At 39.8% G+C, this 19,493-nt stretch overlaps 1 protein-coding gene across 1 annotated transcript, besides 4 other annotated features; it reads left to right on the top strand.

The window, feature by feature from the left end:
• Nucleotides 1,064-1,965: an enhancer, noted in NCBI's record as "H3K27ac hESC enhancer chr15:68570079-68570980 (GRCh37/hg19 assembly coordinates)". NCBI's record gives its function as "activates a minimal SCP1, AML or CMV promoter by ChIP-STARR-seq in primed H9 embryonic stem cells {active_cell/tissue: H9 hESC(primed)}" and the evidence as "EXISTENCE:reporter gene assay evidence [ECO:0000049][PMID:30033119]".
• On the top strand, nucleotides 1,068-19,185 carry FEM1B (fem-1 homolog B). The gene is made up of 2 exons (NM_015322.5): nucleotides 1,068-1,988; nucleotides 12,930-19,185. The coding sequence occupies exons 1-2, from the start codon at nucleotides 1,741-1,743 to the stop codon at nucleotides 14,563-14,565; spliced, it is 1,884 nt and encodes a 627-aa protein (NP_056137.1). The 5' UTR covers nucleotides 1,068-1,740; the 3' UTR covers nucleotides 14,566-19,185.
• Nucleotides 1,348-1,677: a silencer, noted in NCBI's record as "silent region_6586". NCBI's record gives its function as "represses an Ori minimal core promoter by ATAC-STARR-seq in GM12878 lymphoblastoid cells {active_cell/tissue: GM12878}" and the evidence as "EXISTENCE:reporter gene assay evidence [ECO:0000049][PMID:35858748]".
• Nucleotides 1,708-1,907: an enhancer, noted in NCBI's record as "active region_9644". NCBI's record gives its function as "activates an Ori minimal core promoter by ATAC-STARR-seq in GM12878 lymphoblastoid cells {active_cell/tissue: GM12878}" and the evidence as "EXISTENCE:reporter gene assay evidence [ECO:0000049][PMID:35858748]".
• Nucleotides 8,811-9,312: an enhancer, noted in NCBI's record as "NANOG hESC enhancer chr15:68577826-68578327 (GRCh37/hg19 assembly coordinates)". NCBI's record gives its function as "activates a minimal SCP1, AML or CMV promoter by ChIP-STARR-seq in primed H9 embryonic stem cells {active_cell/tissue: H9 hESC(primed)}" and the evidence as "EXISTENCE:reporter gene assay evidence [ECO:0000049][PMID:30033119]".

Consider the following 19,493-nt stretch of genomic DNA (forward strand, 5'->3'; position numbering starts at 1 on the left):
AATAGCATCTTGTCACTTCCCTCTTTAAAACCCTTCAAATGCCCCCATCACAGAGTAGACTTAAACCCTTTGCTATGGGTTATTAGGCCCTAACGTGTGTTGCATCCTCTGACTTCATCTATCATTCTTACTGTGGCCCACTCTGCTGCAGCCACACTGACCTTTCTGTTTCCGAGCTCACCAGACTGTTCCCTCCTCAGGACTTTTATATTAGCTGTCCCCTTTGCCTAGAATACCGTCTGTTCTTGTCACTTGTCATAGAGGTCTTGTCTGATCACCCAAACTAAATGAGTGCCCCCATCATTCTATTTCATTTGCTTCAGAGCAAATGGTAATGATACCAGTTCAACTGATCTTGTCTATCATTTGTTGACTTATTTGTTCCATTACTGAATCCCTAGTGCTAAGCAGAGCCTGGCACGTAGTCGACCTCTAATATTCATTGGATAAACGATCGTTTCAAATCCTAACAACAATCTTGTGATGTCTGTGAGAAAACGGAGGTTCTGCCGGCTCAGGATGAGATTCCTGCTCTGTCTGAACGCGGGACTCGCTTTCCTTCCCAGGATACCTCGCTCCTTCCACCGCGAGCGCAGCTCCCCTTCGCTCCCATCTTTCTCTCACACTTAACCCCTTTCTCCGGGAAAGTCAGGCCGTACTTCCAGTCCCTTCTCAGAGCCTGGTGTTGTGGCTCTCAAGCCCTCCCACATTTCGGGAACTCAGAAACGCCGCCCTTTTCCTGAAATGGACCCTCCGAGTACGCGCAACCCCTTCCCTAACCCCGGCTCAGGGGCAGAAGCAGGACCCGCACCGTCTATAGTAAAATAGGGTGGTCTCCTTAGCCCATCAGCTTAGCGCCCTCACTCCGCCCCCACTCCCTGGCTGGAGACCCTCAGGGCCGTTTAGGGGCCAGGAGGAGGTTCCAGGAGTCAAGGACATTGAGGACATCCAGGCCCAAACGGGATGGGCCAACTACGCGCAGCAGAACCTTTCTCTACCGGGCCCGCGTGTGCCCGCCGGTCGGCTTAGGCGGAGACACCCCACTTAGCGTCCCTCCCGCTCCCGCCCTCTCCTCCCGGCCCTGTCTGCGAAAGCTCGTCTTCCTCCCCGCCCAAGTTCCGGCGCCGCTCTTGCGGGAGCGTTCCGCATCGCCCCGGGGGCCCCTACGCGAGGATCTCCGGGGCCGTTGGCAGCGCCTGGCACTTCTGAGCTCGGCGGACGAGAGCCTGCAGGTTTCCTCCAGTCAGGGACGGCGAAGGGCGGAAAGCGCAGGAGGAGGCAGTGTTAGGCCTTAGGCCGGGTGGGCCGGGTCAGGAGAGACGCGCCCATCTTTCGCCATCCGGGGTGCGCGAGGTCCTCTCGGGACCCGGCCGGCGACCCGTAGCTCGGGCACGCGCCTGTCGCATCCCGCAGGAAGGAGGGGTCCGGCCTGAGGCCCGGGGCGGCGTCCGCCATGGAGATCCCCTCGGTCCAGGGCCGGCGCCTGGGACCTGGCGGGCGGCCCTGACCGCCTTCCTCCCTGCGCGGGCTGGGTCGCGGACGTGCCCTTCGCGGCACTCGGCCTCCTCTGCGTCTCCGCCTTCCCTGGGCCGCACTGCTGCCTGGGCGCGGCGGCGGCGACGGCGCCCTGTTGAATGGGCTGTGAGGGCCCAGGTTTAAAGCGCTGGCGAACGCGGCCTCCGGGGGCGCACGGCAGCTGCAGCGGTGGCGACCAAACGGGTGTTGGAGTTGGCGGCGGCCATGGAGGGCCTGGCTGGCTATGTATACAAGGCGGCCAGCGAGGGCAAGGTGCTGACTCTGGCCGCCTTGCTTCTCAACCGGTCTGAAAGCGACATCCGCTATCTGCTTGGCTATGTCAGCCAGCAGGGAGGGCAGCGCTCCACGCCCCTCATCATCGCAGCCCGCAATGGACACGCAAAGGTGGTACGCTTGCTCTTAGAACATTACCGGGTGCAGACTCAGCAGACTGGCACCGTCCGCTTCGACGGGTAGGTACATCCCAAGCCAGCCTCTCTCCGACGCGCGCGGACTCGTTAATTCACGGGCCCTCCCCTCCCTCACCCTCTCTTACCCTCTCTTCATGTAGGTACTCACTTCTCCCCTTTTTGTACCACCTCCTGCCCCACTAATGCCCACTTCATCTTCCAGGGCTAATAATCCATCCCATGTTTTGCTGCCCGTCCTCATCAGCCCCTACCCCTCATTCCCTCTGTGGGAAGATAACCACACCCTCGGCCTTGAAATCTAATAGTCGTCTTCTCTACTAGATAGTCTGTGAACAAGCCATTTGGAGGAGGTGGCTGCCTTTCCAGGTTTTACTTTTAGTGGAACTGGTGATGTAACTGATCAGAAATTAAGGAGGTCAGCGGTTAACATTGAAGAACTCCGAAAGAGTTATTTGGGCATCCATTTTTACTCCCTTCAAGTGAGTGGTTCCGTAAAACCTTCAGTGGGCTGCTGGGCTTTAATGTCAAAATAAGCACCTAGAACCAGCAGCAGCTGCAGCATCATGAGGGATTGTCACGCAGCCAGACATCTCAAGACATGATTCTGATTCCTCCACGTTGCTCGGTGTAGATATATTGGCTACTAAGATGGCATTGGACCTGATGTGGGAGATGATGCCATTCTTAAATTACATCTTATCCCGTGATGTTGTGGGGAAGCTTGATCATTTACTGTTAGTTGAGGTGGGAAGTTTAAAAATGCACATTGTTATGCCTAAGATTTGCCCTTTGAGTTTAATTGTACGAATTTTTGGGTATTTGACCAGAATTGTCAGGTTTGACATTATCCTCTTTTCTATGCTGGAGGATTATAACACGTTTTACAGATTACAACTGTATAACGATTTTGCTACATATGTTTTGGTTGACTTGTGGTAGTACATAAGCTATTTTAGCATTTTTTTTTTCTTTTGAAGTCAGTAGGGTCTGAGCATAAAAATATATATCTTTAGTTTTTGGTGATTAGAAACTGCCTGGCTAAAACTCGACTGAAAAAAACATTTCTTCTTTAAGATGACTAGGGAAATGTTCTGTTTCGGTTGATTCTTTTTTAGGTTTAAACAATAAAAGCTTTTTCTTCTATTTTAGATGAGTGGAAAATATTCATAGCATTACATCTTAATGAAATGGTAGCCCATGGGCAATGGCTTATATCACGGGTATCACCATTATACACATTAAGGAGATGTTTTTTTTCATGTTGACCAAAGATGGCAACCTGATTCATGTTTGCTTTTCCTTACTGGCTTTCGTGTCTTCTCTGTAACTCCTTGCATTCCCGCACCTAGAGAAGGAGTGAAGCACAGTGACCTCTGAACCTCCAGTACCGTTCCACCTGTATAGGCATATGAAGTCATTGAGATATGAATTTCTGTAATAACAGCTGCTTGGGAATACTGCTGCTGAGGCAATGTGCATAAGGGAGAATAGTGGGGAGAAAAAAGAGTTAAGAATTTCGAAAGGTTTTGCTTATTGCCATCTTTTTCAGTCGTCAAAGAGATGTTTTGAGGTGGCAATTAAAAGAACCTGAAATGACTAGAAATGTAGCATTGAGCCTGTGTAGTGGCTTATCTTGCCCAATGTTCTGTACTGGCCAGAGAAATTAATGAGTTCGGTAAGTAAACATTTATTGAACACCTACTGCGTGCTAGGTTCTGTGGTAGGGATTGGATATGCAGAGATGAATAACATACTCTTTTGTCTTGGAGGATGTCAGTCTGGGTGGGGGGAGAGAAATTAATAACACAAATGAGTATTTGCAGATGCCATGCCATTTAGGGTTGTAGAAATCATTTGGACTACTGAGAGAAAACAGGGAAAGGAAGTGCTGTTTTATCCGGGGGGAATCTAGAAAGGCTTCACAGAGGAGGTGACGTTCGAGCTGTGTTTTAAAGAATAGTAGTAGGACATGAAGAAGAGGGGCAGCAGCTTGGTGCCCTTGCAGTGACTAGTGTTTCAGTGCTGTTGCAAGAAGGGATTCAAGTTGGGGCAATTAAGAAAGAGATTGTGGGAGACTGGAGAGAGCTGGAGCCCAGATTTTGGTGATCCCTGTATAAAGTACTAAGAGTAAGACTGGTTAAACTGCAATCTCAAATGTTTCCATCATTTAAGATTTCATCTCCTTGATTCTGTATATCAGTTTAGCTTATGGATTATTACAATTATGAATTTATTAGCTGCTATGTAAAAATAGTCCTTATTAAATGCTTGTGATGGGCCTAGCCTGTGTCATGTTCTGGAGGAAATGTAAGGTACAGGAAATCTAAGGTTTCTACTTTTGAGAAGCTTACAAATTAATTAATAAAAGAGATATTGAAGTTCCTGGTACTCTCTGTGCATTCACACCTTCTGTGAGATTATTTTGCAGTTTATCCCAGTCATTTTAGGATTTTAGAACCAAAAAAGAGTGTGATGATTTCACTTTGCATTTGTTTCAGACATTGTGAAAATGTTAGCCTGAGTACATTAACAATAGAAAGCTGACTTGACCCTTGGGGGCTGACCTTTGAAAAACACATAGCCAGCACTTGAGACACATGGCCATATAGGGATTAACAGCTGTGTGCTGAAGTAGATTAGTGTTTCTAATTTTTAGTCATTCACGTGCTAGCTTCATAATTTTTGGCCAAATTGTTCACTAACCTGCTGTTTACTTAATAAATATCTTTTCTTTAAATTGTCTGTTATTTGCTTGATAGTTGTCTTCAGAATGTTTTACTTCTTAGCTTCATCCCATGTAATTATGGGTTTGCTGTGTGTTTTGTGTGTGTGCGTGAGAAAGACATACATTAAAATAAATATTACAAAAGTTTTAAAAAGTCTATTCTACCTAAAACCTTCTATAATACCTTAGGAAACTAAAGTGGATTCATGATAGAGCCTCGAGGGGAAAGGGACCACCCACCTAGATTAAGCCATTGATATTTGAGTTCTTGTTCACTTTTTTTTTTTGAGACGGAGTCTCGCTCTGTCGCCGGGGCTGGAGTGCAGTGGCGCGATCTCGGCTCACTGCAAGCTCTGCCTTCCGGGTTCATGCCATTCTCCTGCCTCAGCCTCCCGAGTAGCTGGGACTACAGGTGCCCACAACCATGCCTGGCTATTTTTTGTATTTTTAGTAGAGACGGTTTCACCGTGTTAGCCAGGATGGTCTCGATCTCCTGACCTCGTGATCCGCATGCCTCGGCCTCCCTAAGTGCTGGGATTACAGGCTTGAGCCACTGTGCGCGGCCTCTTGTTCACATTTTTAGGAGTAACATTTGAGATTATTTTACTTGTGGCGTGACATGTGAATACCATGTTGATATAGATGAGTGGACAAGAAGAAAAGTCACATGAGTGGGAATGAAAGAAGATCCCTTAGTTGAATAATGGGAAGCTGTTTGTTAAGAATGTTATAAAAAGGGAACAGAACAAGGGGGAGGTGTCATATGACCATGAAACATTGTGCTGGCCTGAGTTCTGAGGGTCTGACTGCTCTCTGCCAGAGTTTGTGGAGACCACCTGTCCTTGAAGGGGTTTGCTGATGTGGATGGGGAGAATAGGACCTCCGAGAATTTTGAGGCTTTTTGTTGAGTGTTGTTCTTTTAAAGTCAGTGCTAGTACTAATACTTCTGATAAATGTTGAGGCGGAGGAAAGGCATGAGGGGCATGCCAGTATTTGACTTCATTTAGAAAGTCGTTGGCAATATATATTTCAAGGGATTACATTTCATGTAATACATGATTTTTAAGGACTTTGGTTAAAATAAAGTGTGGATCATTTATATTTAATGAATTTTTATTTCCCTTTCAAATGCTTGAACCAGGCATTTCTATTTCAGATTGAACCAGGTAATAGATGAGCTCAGCCTTGTGATCAGAAATGTTATCTCTTATTGTGAAAAGTTTCCATCATCTGATGGATACTATTTGTTTGAAAAGGTGAATATCAGATTATAGTTTCTTGATTTGAAGATGAATACATAATAGAGAACTTGCATTGTAATTTTGGACTGGGCCTAGAAAGATCATTGCTTTATAGTGCTTCTCCTTTAGGAACTTAGTAAATACTGCATTAATTTTATTTTATCTTTAATTTCTGTTAAATGTATTTGGTATTTTGTTTTGAGGCAGTATAGTCTTACAATTTTAGCTAGATTTTATAGATGGAGGAATGTCATAAATGTTAGTATTGTAATTCTCTTTAATCTGTTTAATATTTTGATTTAGATGTAGAAATTCTAAATTTACCAAGGCTAATGTTTCTGAAGGACCAGTCTTGTGAAACATTCTGCATTGAATTCTTTTGTCATAGAATATCTTTAAAATTTTTAATTGCCTCAATAGAAATAGGTAATTGGAACTTTTTTGAGGCTCCTGTCAAATGACTGTAGCTCAAGGGAAAAAAATGGAAATTATTAGACTATACCAGGAAAAATATTAAACTGACCAAGTAGTTTCCATTATAAAAACCAAGTGAATACTTGTAATTTAATTTTTACTCTTACATCATAGATTCTGAGAAGTTTGAGATCAGAAAAATATTTTAATCACTTTTTGTCTCTTTTCATCTCTAAAATGAGGGTAATGCTTTTCCTATAGGTTTATTGCTAGGGTTAAAGATAATGTGACTGCCTATTTTAATCTAACATTTCTTGAGTTTGAAGTAGTTTAGATTCCTGTTTCCTGGCATATAATAATTATATGTTTTAAAAACCAGGCCAGTTGCAGTGGCTCACACCTGTAATCCCAGCACTTTGGGAGGCCTAGGTGGGGATATCATTTGAGCTCAGGAATTTGAGACCATCCTGGGCAACATAGTGAGACCTCATCTCTACCTAAAAAAAAAAAAAAAAAAAAAAAAAAAAAAGGTAGTATGCAGGAGGCTGAGGTGGATGGATCCCTTGAGCCTGGGAGATCTAGGCAGCAGTGAGCAGTGGTTGTGCCACTGCCATGAGCAGTGATTGTGCCACTGTACTTAGCCGGTACAACAGAGCAAGACCCTGTTTCAAAACAAAACAAAACAAATCCAGTGGAAGGAAACATTGTAACTATGTAATTGTTACTATGTATTAACTTTGTATTTTTTTATTATATTAATCAGTTTGGAAACGTTCTTTAAATTGAAACAAATGTTTGAACAATGATGTGTACTATGTTTCCTTACGTTTGATGCATTTTATGGTATTCCAAGTACTTTTGTATTTTTAATCTCACGTAAACTTTTTTTTTTTTTTTTTGAGATGGAGTCTCACTCTTGTTGCCGAGGCTAAAGTGCAATGGCGTGATCTTGGCTCACCGCAAACTCTGCCTCCCAGGTTCAAGCAATTCTTCTGCCTCAGCCTCCCGAGTAGCTGGGATTACAGACATGCGCCACCACACCTGGCTAATTTTGTATTTTTAGTAGAGATGGGGTTTTTCCGTGTTGGTCAGGCTGGTCTTGAACTACCCACCTCAGGTGATCCACCCACCTTGGCCTCCCAAAGTGTTGGGATTACAGACGTGAGCCACTGTGCCCAGCCCTCATATAAACTTTTTAGTTATTTATCTGCATAATAGTTAATATTATAACTATAATATAATAGTATAATAGGGCATAATAATAGTACCTACCTCACAGGATTATTGTGAAGATTAAGTGAGATATTTTGCATATTCAGCAGTGAATACAGTGCTTGGCACTGTATTTGGTATAAATTACCAAAGTAATTTGGTATAAATTACTTGAATTGAAATTACTTGAAATTGAAATTACTTGAAATGAAAGTATTTGGTATAAATTACTCGTATTCATTTAAACTATTTTTCTTTGAAGTCATTTGTGCCTATTTTTGTTTTTAATTATATCTGTTTTTTTAGTGGAGGTATATCATATCTAGTAAAGTACATGAATCTTGTGTACAATACTGTACAATGAATTTTTAATATGTTTACATCCATCTAGTCACTCTCTAGATCAATGTGTAGAACACTTTATCACTCTAAAAGTTTCCCTTGTGCCCCTTCTCAGTTTCCTCCCTTTCCTTGCCAGAGGTAATGATTATTTTGACTTCTGATAGGGTTTGGCTATGTCCCACCCAAATCTTATCTTGAATTCCCACGTGTTGTGGGAGGGACCTGGTGGGAGGCAACTGAATCATGGAAGCAGGTCTTTCCCGTGCTGTTCTCTTGATAGTAAGTGTCACGGGATCTGATGATTGTAAGGGGGAGATTCCCTGCACAAGCTCACTTTGCCTGCTGCCATCCATGTAAGATGTGACTTGCTGCTCCTTGCCTTCTGCCATGATTGTGAAGCCTCCCCACCCATGTGGAACTGTAAGTCCAGTAAACCTCTTTCTTTTGTAAGTTGCCCAGTTTCGGGTATGCCTTTATCAGCAGCGTGAAAATGGACTAATACAGCTTCTGTCACCACAGATTAGTTTTGCCTGTACTTGAACTTCCTATAAGCAGAATTATGTAGTATGTACTCTTTTTGTTTGGCTTTTTTCGCTTAACACAGTGTCTTTGAGATTCATCCATGTACTTGCATGTATCAGTAGTTTCTTTTTTTAATGATGTGTGGTATTCCGTTGCATAAATATACTACAGTTTATCCATTTCCTATTAATTAATATTTTGGTTGTTTCCAGTGTTTGACTGTTATGAATAAAACTGCAGTGAACATTTGTGTATGTTGTTTGGTGGACATTTGCATTTAGTTATCTGGTATATATCAAGGAGTGGAATTGCTGGGTCATCAGGTAGGTGTATGTTTAACTAACAGATATTGCCAAATAGTTTCCCCAAAGTTCAACAACCAAATTACATTCCTACTTGCAGTTTCCACCAGCAATGAGAATGTCAGTTGCCACATCTTGCTCAACACTTATTATTGCCCTGTCAGTCTTGTTAAATTTAGCTATTCTGCTGGGTGTGTATATTGGTAAACTGGTTTTAATTTGCATTTCCCTGTTAACTAATTATCTTGAGCATCTTTTCATATGCTTATGGGCCATTTGGATATCTTTTGTGAAGTATACTTGTTCAGTCTTTTTTTTTTTTTCTTAAATTGAGTAGAGACAGGATCTTGCTGTGTCGCGCAGGCTGGTCTTGAACTCTTAGGTTCAAACAGTCCTCTTCTTAGCCCCCCCGCAGTGCTGGGATTACAGGTGTGAGCCACTGCACCTGGCCACTTAATCGCTTTGTTTATAATGTTTTTTGATGAATGGAAGTTCTGGTTTTAATGAAATCCAATAAATACTTTCTTTTTCTTTAACGGTTAATGCTTTTTTTTTTTTTTGGTATTCTGTTCCAGAAATTGTGATCAACACTAAATTCATTAAGAATAGTCTATGGCTTTTTTTTTATTTTGAGAAGCTTTTCACACTATAGGTCTATACTGTGTCTCTAATTTTTGTATGTACTGTGAGGTAGGAATCAAGGTTAATTATTTTCCATATAGATTATCTTGTTGCTCCATAACTATTTATTAAAAAGACCATGTTTTCTACCTGAATTTCACTGGAGCCTTTGTCAGAAATCAAGGGATTCTGTATGTGTGAATCTATTTCTGGAGTTTTTTTTTTTTTTGGTCTGTTGATAATATTATTCTGTCCCCGTGCCAGCACTTATTTTAATTACTGTAGTTTGTCCTCTAACTTTATTTTTCTTGAAGATTATCTTGGTTGTTTGCATTTCCATATTCTTTTTTGAATTGGCCTGTCAGTTCTTTCTTTCTCTCCTTCCCATTTTAGAGAGAGGTTCTCGCACTGTTGCTCAGGCAAGAGTGCAGTGGCCTGATCATGGCTCATTGTAGCCTCGACCTCTTGGACTCACACACACACACACACACACACATATACCACACAACCTGCTAGGATTTTCATTTGGTTTATATCGAATCTATAGATCATTTTGAGGGAGAATCGACATCTTAACATTATAGAGTCTTCTGGATCATGAACATGGAATATTTTCCCATTTATTTAGATTTACTTATCTCAGGAGTGTTTTGTAGTTTTCAGTGTAGAAGTCTTGTGCATTTTTCATTAGATTTATTACTATTTATTGGTATTTTCTGATGCTGTTGCAAGTGTTATTTTTTGACAATAAATAAATGTTTATTGAACTTTACATAATCATGACAATAAAAACATAACAAAAAAATAACAAAAGTGAATTTTAATTAAACTGAATTGTTTGCAAAACATATAGTTGGCATCACTGATGTAGTGTCTTATTTTCTTGATTCATTCTTTTTTTTGAGATGGAGTTTTGCTCTTGTCACCCAGGCTGGATTGCAATGGTGCAATCTCAGCTCACTGCAACCTCTGCCTCCTGGGTTCAAGTGATTCTCCTGCCTCAGCCTCCTGCGTAGCTGGGATTACAAGCATGTGCCACCACCACTCCTGGCTAATTTTTGTATTATTGGTAGAGACGGGGTTTCACCATGTTGGCCAGGTTGGTCTCGAACTCCTGACCTCCGGTGATCCGCCTGCTTTGGCCTCCCAAAGTGCTGGGATTACAGGCATAAGCCACCGCACCCGGCCTGATTCATTCTTTAGTTAAAAAAAATCAATTAACAAATGCATTTTTAAAAATAAAAATTTGAAAAATAATTTTAGGAGGCTTCTGATCTTTTCTGAGGTATGTCTTACATACAGTAAAATGCAGAGGTCTTAAGTATGCAGTTTGGTGAGTTTTTTCCCTAAATATCCATGTGGCTGCTACCCAGATGAAAATGTAGGACATTTCCAGTACCTTCAAGTCTCTTCCCAGCCAGTCCTAGCCTCTTCTCTGTAGGTAGCCACTGTTACTGAGAGGGCTTTTGTTTATAAACATTTTGTGTCATTATTTGAAACTGAAGAAGTAATTGCTTAAATTATTATAAAATGAGTATTTTCAGTAGAAGTGATAAAGGGTATTGTTTTTTGTGGTGATGTTAACTGGGGTTAAACCATGATATTTATATGTCTTAGTCTGTTCTGTGGTGTTATAACAAAATACCTGACACTGTAATTTATGAACAGAAATTTATTTCTCATATTTCTGGAAGCTGGAATGTTCAAGATCAAGGTGCCAGTAGGTTCAGTTGTCTGGTGAGGGCCGCATCCTCCAGAGGGGAGGAATCCTGTGTCCTCACATGGTGGAAGGTGAAAAGGCAAGCCAGCGGAACGTTGCTAACGTCTCTTTTTTTTTTTTTTTTTTTTTTGAGATGAAGTTTTGCTCTGTTGCCCAGGCTGAGTGCAGTGGCACGATGTCAGCTCACGGCAACCTCTGCCTCCCAGGTTCAAGCAATTCTCTTGCCTCAGGCTCCTATCTGGGATTATAGGCGTGTGCCACCATGCCCGGCTAATTTCTGTATTTTTGGTAGAGATGGGGTTTCACCATGTTGGCCAGGCTCGTCTTGAACTCCTGACCTCAAGTGATCTGCCCACTTCAGCCTCCCAAAGTACTGAGATGATAGGCGTGAGCCACCATGCCAGGCCTAACGCCTCTTGTGTGTGGTCCTTAATTTCATTCACAAGTGGAGGAGCCCTCATGACCTAATCACCTCTTCAAGACATCACCTCTTAATGCTATTCACGTTTGGCAACACCTGAATTTTGGTGGGAACACATTCAAACTATAGCACCAGGAGCATTATTCTCTTTTCCACTTCATGGGGGATATAATTTGACCAGTGTTATAAGGTTGTATAGTGAGAAGCTCACTAGTGTGGTTTTTGGTGTGTATATTTAATTGCCCTAGTGAATATTCCTTTGATCAACCTTTCTTCTTAACACTTCCAAATGTACTTATTGCTTCTAGCACAGTAGACTGTCTCCAGCAAAAATCTACTTATCAGGTCTTTTGGTTAGTGGTAAGAAATTTAGAAATTAAGGTTGGGGAAAAATTGACAGTAGAAAGGTGGGAAAGATCAGACTCTAGCAATAGTCTAATTTTGTATGTTAAGTAGTGAATCTAGCACATATCAGATGTTTAGTAAGTAAGTGATAAGTATGAAGCCACAAGTCCAGTCATGTCAGAGAAGATATCTGCTTGGTTTTCCAAAAGTGCTAATTATTTCCTGCTGTTAGTATTTTTTTCCTGTAGTGGTTGATTGAGGAACACACAGACAAGCAGTATATGCACACACATATACATATACATTTTAAAACTTTTAAATTGGAGCATAACGTAACTTAGAGAAAAATGCACTAATTATAAATATATAAAAATTTCACAAAGTGAACATATTTGTTTACTAGAGTCCCCTTTGTGCTTTCTCCCATTTCACTACCTCTCCCCAAAAGTAACCAGTATCCTCACTTCTAACACTGCAGATAGGTATGTAAATGTAATAATATAATATGTGCTGTGTTCATCTGACTTCTTTTCTCAGCATCAGGTTTATGTTATCTGTTCATATTGTGTGTGGAGCAGTAATTATTTCATTCTCATTGCTGTAGTATAGTACTCAATTAGCTTAGGGGAAACTTACCTGCTTTATTTTTTTCTTCTTAAAGCAGTGTCTAACACAGCTTTAATGTAGGGTTGGGGTGGCTTTCATAATTGTCAGAAACTGCTTGCTACCTGGAGGCTACTGGGAAGGAGGAACATGCTGTTCTCCTAGTAACCAGTGAATCAACTTGGTGATGAAGAAGCTACCTCCACGCATTTCCTCTGTGCCTTCTGAAGTGTCTTTACTTTTGCTAGTAGAAAGTTCGTGATTTTTCAGGTTTGTTTTTTAGGGTTATATACTCTAGTAGTAACAGTAATAGCTAGCATATATTGAGCTTTATATTAGGTACAAGTACTATGCAAAGTGCTTTCCTTAAATTACCTGTTTTTATTTTCATGAGAACTGATGTTTTATTAATGTTCTGGAGAGTGAGGTCTTGGTCGGTGGGAGTGAATACATCCCTTAAACATATGTTAGGCTGTGGCCTCTGTTATCTAACTGCTTATTCTTTTCATGTGTAGGTATGTCATTGATGGTGCCACTGCTCTTTGGTGTGCAGCTGGAGCAGGACATTTTGAAGTTGTTAAACTTCTAGTCAGCCATGGAGCCAACGTGAACCATACCACAGTAACTAATTCAACCCCCCTGCGGGCAGCATGCTTTGATGGCAGACTGGACATTGTGAAATACTTGGTTGAAAATAATGCCAACATCAGCATTGCCAACAAATATGACAACACCTGCCTAATGATTGCGGCATATAAGGGACACACTGATGTGGTCAGATACCTTTTAGAACAACGTGCTGATCCCAATGCCAAAGCACATTGTGGAGCCACAGCATTGCACTTTGCAGCTGAAGCTGGGCACATAGATATTGTGAAAGAGCTGATAAAATGGCGTGCTGCTATAGTAGTGAATGGCCATGGGATGACGCCATTGAAAGTAGCTGCCGAAAGCTGTAAAGCTGATGTCGTAGAACTGTTACTCTCTCATGCTGATTGCGACCGAAGAAGTCGGATTGAAGCTTTGGAACTCTTGGGTGCCTCCTTTGCAAATGACCGTGAGAACTATGACATCATAAAGACATACCACTATCTATATTTAGCCATGTTAGAGAGGTTCCAAGATGGTGATAACATTCTCGAAAAAGAGGTTCTTCCACCAATCCATGCTTATGGGAATAGAACTGAATGTAGAAATCCTCAGGAACTGGAGTCCATTCGGCAAGACAGAGATGCTCTTCATATGGAAGGCCTTATAGTTCGGGAACGGATTTTAGGTGCTGACAATATTGATGTTTCTCATCCCATCATTTACAGAGGAGCTGTTTATGCGGATAATATGGAATTTGAGCAGTGTATCAAGTTGTGGCTTCATGCCCTGCACCTCAGACAAAAAGGTAACAGGAACACCCACAAGGATCTTCTTCGATTTGCTCAAGTTTTCTCACAAATGATACATTTGAATGAAACTGTGAAGGCCCCAGACATAGAATGTGTTTTGAGATGCAGTGTTTTGGAAATAGAACAAAGTATGAACAGAGTGAAAAATATTTCAGATGCTGATGTCCACAATGCTATGGACAATTATGAATGTAATCTCTATACCTTTCTGTATTTAGTGTGCATCTCTACCAAAACACAGTGCAGCGAAGAAGATCAGTGCAAAATTAACAAGCAGATCTACAACCTGATTCACCTTGATCCCAGAACTCGTGAAGGTTTCACCTTGCTGCATCTGGCTGTCAATTCCAATACTCCAGTTGATGATTTCCACACCAATGACGTCTGCAGCTTTCCAAATGCACTTGTCACAAAGCTCCTGCTGGACTGTGGTGCTGAGGTGAATGCCGTGGACAATGAGGGAAACAGTGCCCTTCATATTATCGTTCAGTACAACAGGCCCATCAGTGATTTTTTGACCTTGCACTCCATCATCATTAGCCTAGTTGAAGCCGGAGCTCACACTGACATGACGAATAAACAGAATAAGACTCCGCTAGACAAAAGTACAACTGGGGTATCTGAAATACTGCTTAAAACTCAAATGAAGATGAGTCTCAAGTGCCTGGCTGCCCGAGCAGTTCGGGCTAATGACATTAACTACCAAGACCAGATCCCCAGAACTCTTGAAGAGTTTGTTGGATTTCATTAAGTGACTGGATATGTAAAGTCGTTTAATGTGGTGCTAAAAAGTAAAGGACTTTTAATCACAGACAGTAGAATTATGTGTTCATAAATTCTGCTTTTCTTTCCACTACCCTTCCTCCCATCCCATCCTTCCTTAGTTCTGTATTTGTTTTTCTTGCCTCATGGTAATTGATTTCAGACAGACTTTAACAAAACCACATTGTTTTGGTGTAACTATAAGGTATTTGCATATTGGTTACCTATTTGTCTTTCTTTTTTTTAAAGGAACAGATATAAAATGTTTTGTTTATGTAACAAGGGACATTTATAATTTCAAGTTGATAATGTTTTAAACAGCTGCTTACAAAAGTATTTCTGTTAAGCCTATGTCAGCATGTTATCCATGCAGCAGTTTTGAGGATTTTATGAAGAAAAAGAGCTAAAAAGGAACATTAAGAGGAATGGGATATCCAGGTGTTCTGCACATGCCAAACTGCTGTAGATAGTTTACACTCTTCCATTATTTATACGGAGTGATGCAGCACATTTTAGCATTCAGGAGGATTTTTAAAAAATAGCTGCAGATTAATCTGGAAAATGTGCTAATTTAATAATAGTTACAAATTTATAAATTTAAATCCATTTGAAATTGTTGCATTATGCTGGGTAGTATATACAAAATGGTTATCATCTTAAACCAACTTTTCAGAGAATCTTGATGGACTCTGCCTTTAGGCTTGAATTCTTCAAAGTCTATTTTAATGAAATTTATCTAAATTGCAGCAGTCTATTTGATTCAGCTCATAGACATGTAAAAATTATGAATGCTGTTTTCTTATGAAACAAATTGTCACAGTGTAGTTATACATTCTATTTTTGTCCCCTTTTCCCTTTTTCTCCTGTATCTTTTAAAATTTGGAAACTACTTTTCCAGAAGGCATTATTTATGCCTCCCTAATAAGGTATTTTACTTATGACAGATGAAAAGGAACCAGGATATGTTTGAATTTTTTCACTTTCTTAGTCTGTGACAAGAAGTAGAAATATCACTAGTGTGGTATAGGAACTTACATGTTTTTTATGATGAAAATAATTCTCAATGCCACTTGAAAGGTAATTGTGTCTGAGAGCTGCAAATTTTTCAACCACAAAATGTCACTTATTCCTACAGGCTATACAGAGGTCTTTATGGTTTTTTTGTTTTGTTTTAATGGCAACATTGTAACTGTCAAACTAAAAGGGTATTCTGTGATTATCTTTTAAGCATTACAGAAATTCAAGTGAAAGTTATATGCTTATTTCTATTGATGTTAAAAATGATAATGAAAGCAAAATTAGCTGTATCTGTAATTTTCTCTCTAGTGCCAAATGAATGCCTTAGCTACTCATAGTGCATGGTACTGTAAGTGAAGACCTGTAGCTTTTTTTTTTTCTTTAATGAAAAGCATTATAATGATGTAGCAGCATCAGATATAAACTTAAAAAAAAAGGTTTCAATTAACATTTTATATATGGATAATGCTTTGTAAAGTGTAAGAGAAAGGTTGCAGTTGGATCAGTATAAAACAATGACCAAGCCAAAATCAGCACCCTAGGGCCTTAAATAAAATAGAGATACCCCACAAAATGAAATATTTTGAAGGATGGGAGGGGACAGAAGGGGGGACTATCCCCCAAGGATGCAAGATACTTTTTACAGTTGCTATCATTATACTTTGTCTTCTTGCTTCAGTTAGGAAGGTTTTGATGGTAAATTCTGTCATGGTAATAGATACCTATTTTCCTAACCTGAGATTTTACAAGGAAGGTTTTTAGGTTGGCTTAAATGGAGGTATTTATTTGAGTGAGCCCTAATTTGAAAATTACCAGACTTGATCCTCCTGGTATGAATCAAGGAAATACTGTACCTTGCTCTTAGCAACTCTCAGTGGCCTGAAAGAGAAAATGCACTTCTTCAAGGTGAGTGAATCATGCTTTTTCCACAGTTCAGATCAGACCCTTTATTTTTCAAACTACAAGGCCTGCTTATTGGACAGTCTAAGGAATAGCTTTGATACTTGGTATTCAGTTGGTTCCATTATTAATGTATATTATTTTTATTTAAACATCAAAACTTAAAATATCAGATAATGTTGCATGTTTTAAAAACACATTTCATCCCTTTGGCTACCCAGGACCAGCACTATTTAAGACACTGCTTATTTATAAAATGAGAATAATGATTATATGTACATATTCAGACATCAAAATTTAATGACATTCTATTTTGAGAAGGGAAGACAATGCTGAAGAAAGTAAAACTGTTGATTGAAATGCTGACAGGGTGGAGAACGAATTTGAAGACAGTGGAATAAACTATGAACTATGCTAATGGTAATTAGATTTTTTGTTTGTTTAGTATAGTGGTAAATTGTGTAGTATCTTGCTGAGAATCTAATTCTATCTTGTAAAATCAATCCAAATGTGTATTGTGAAACACCTGTATAAAATCATTTTTGAAATAAGTGATCTACATGCCTGTTTTTTTAAAATGTTTTTGGTAGAATTGTTTGAAAATATGTTTAGCCAGACCCTTCCCCAACTTAATTTTTTTTTAAAAAAGGAAAATAGGTAAGAAAATGATAGTTCTATATCTCAGCCCTCTGTGAACTCTAGGCTGTCTCCATTTTGCAGCCACTTTGGTCATTTGATGTTTACTATTGGTATACTTATGCTTTGAATTGTAAATCTTCATTGATGGTATTACAGATTCAACCAAAACTTCTCTGTCCTGTTCAGTAATTGTTATATAAATCTGGATGAGCTAGGGAGGCCCAGGTGGATGTTTTCATTCGCAAATCATGAGAAACTTAAGTGGGTTTTATGCACTTGATAGAGTTGGCAAAATTGAACTATGAAGTTAACTATTTAACTCAAGGAATGGGCGGCAAACCCATCCCCTCGATTGATAAAGAAGGGGAACATTTTTACATTAGAACTGACACTGAAAACATAGCTTTTTCAGTCCACCCTGGTTGCTCTAGTAGCCCACAGCCCAATCACGTTAAGGTTCTTTGCTGTGGGAATTTTAAATAAACCAAACCCCAAAGCAGACCATCTGTAAGCTTTGGTCTGCTTGTTTCTGAGAAGGGTTTTATTTCATTATACTAATAGTGGACTAATAATTGGTAATTGTGAGAACTTAGGTATGATAACATTGTTTGAAGTAAAATATGATTTGGGGGCAGCAGCTTTCTAAATACCAACTCTGTTTGACAAATGTTTTGAAAATTAAAATTTCAAGTGAGCAACACCCTGTTAAGAGTTTTCACTATAGTTGAGGCAGCTACTTTATGAATAAGACCACTTTGGGTTATTTAAGCAGAAGCGTTTCTTTTTTTTTTTTGGAATGGGGTGGGATGAGGAGTGAGTTGCCAGACCTTTGATTAGTTTGCTGGTTTAGAAACAGCCAGTGGCTGAATTAGTGAGTAAATGAATGAAAGTATAAAGGACTTGTTTTTTATGATAGATTTTCTGTAAGAATCTTAAATGTTCCTTTTCAAATTAGATGTGTTGATGCACACATGACTATTCTGTTTTTCTCACTGACTATATAACATTAAAAAGGGGTTAAAGAAAACAAAACTCTGCCTTTTGTGCTATGAAATATTTTTAGTCCAGAGGTTTTAAGCTGTGTGTCCATTCCTACTCTGAAAATGCATAGCTTTGTTCTGGATGTCATCTCTTGAAAGTAGAAAACTCCTATGTGTTTATCACATTGCAGGGCTTTCTTATGTATTTCTGGCAGACTTGCCCAAATCTTTAGATGGGCTGGGTTATACAGCATGCCCTCCCCCAAATAAGGGATCTGAAATAAATACTACACTATTGATAGTGGAGATATATTAATTTTTAAAACTGTAAAGTAAATGTGGTCTCTAGGTTTGTGGTGTGTACCTTTGTGTTAATGTGTAGGGAAGAGACAGTGACTTGATGGTTATGGGGAGTGTATCTTGATGTGTGTATAGGGGTAAGTATTGCTAAATTATTTACAGCTTTTATTCAGGGTGAGTCATGTGATGAATGGCCTAATCAGAAAAGTGAAGGAGCGAAGATGCAAGCTTGCCAAATGATGAAATGAACAAGATTTTGTATCTATTTTTTATCAGGTGTTGTAAAATTTGTGCATGGCTTTTTGTTGTTGTTGCTTAGTAACTGGTAGAGGAGAAAAGATGAGGAAAGAAACTCAGCTTTCCTCACAGTCTTTTCAAAGGTACACAGTTGGGGAGTAAAATCTGACTGGCCTAATCGATGGAAAAGACCCTGTCCTTTTCACCCCATCCTGCAATCCTCCGTGCAGAGGAACTACACTGTTGTATTCTAGTAATTCACTGTGATTTATAACAAACCGGTGATGTCATTCTATTGTGCACTTTTGTCAAACCATTTATGTGACTTTAATAAACATAGTAAACTTGCTGACTGCACCAGAGGTCCATTAGTGATTTATATATTGCATGACATTTTCTATTTGAGTTTGACATGTAGAGTCATTTTTAGTTTCATGGCAATTGACAGTCCTAATAACTCAGCTAATTTGAAACTAACAATCTTGCTGTGTAAAAGGAAAAAATGGTGTTTGTGTTCAGTAAATGTTTGAAAAAAACTACTTTGAGGTTTGTGTCTTTATTAATTATTCAGTGTGCCTTAGTTGCGATGTTCTTTTGTTGAGTGCCTTAAAGTTGTCAAAGTTATATATGTGCATGGGAAAAAATTCACGTAGTAAAGAAAAATTCAAATATATATTTTAAAAGTTCCCTTTTCATCTCTCCCCGCCTCCTATTTGGACTCTGCAGAGACAATCACTATTAATAGTTTTTTGAGTAGCTTCCCAGAATGTTTCTGTGCACATATGTATTATTTCTCCTTTTCAGTTTTTAAAATGCAAATGAACTTCTACCTTTGCAACGCTAT

The sequence above is a fragment of the Homo sapiens genome, chromosome 15 (genome assembly GCF_000001405.40).
Source record: "Homo sapiens chromosome 15, GRCh38.p14 Primary Assembly".
Lineage (NCBI taxonomy): Eukaryota > Metazoa > Chordata > Mammalia > Primates > Hominidae > Homo > Homo sapiens.

What these genes read in the sequence shown, in the direction of transcription:
- FEM1B (NM_015322.5), top strand. Translation starts at nt 1,741, where the DNA reads ATGGAGGGCCTGGCTGGCTATGTATACAAGGCGGCCAGCGAGGGCAAG. An exon ending in GGCACCGTCCGCTTCGACGG is followed by an intron (nt 1,989 to 12,929) that starts GTAGGTACATCC and finishes TTTCATGTGTAG; the next exon opens with GTATGTCATTGATGGTGCCA.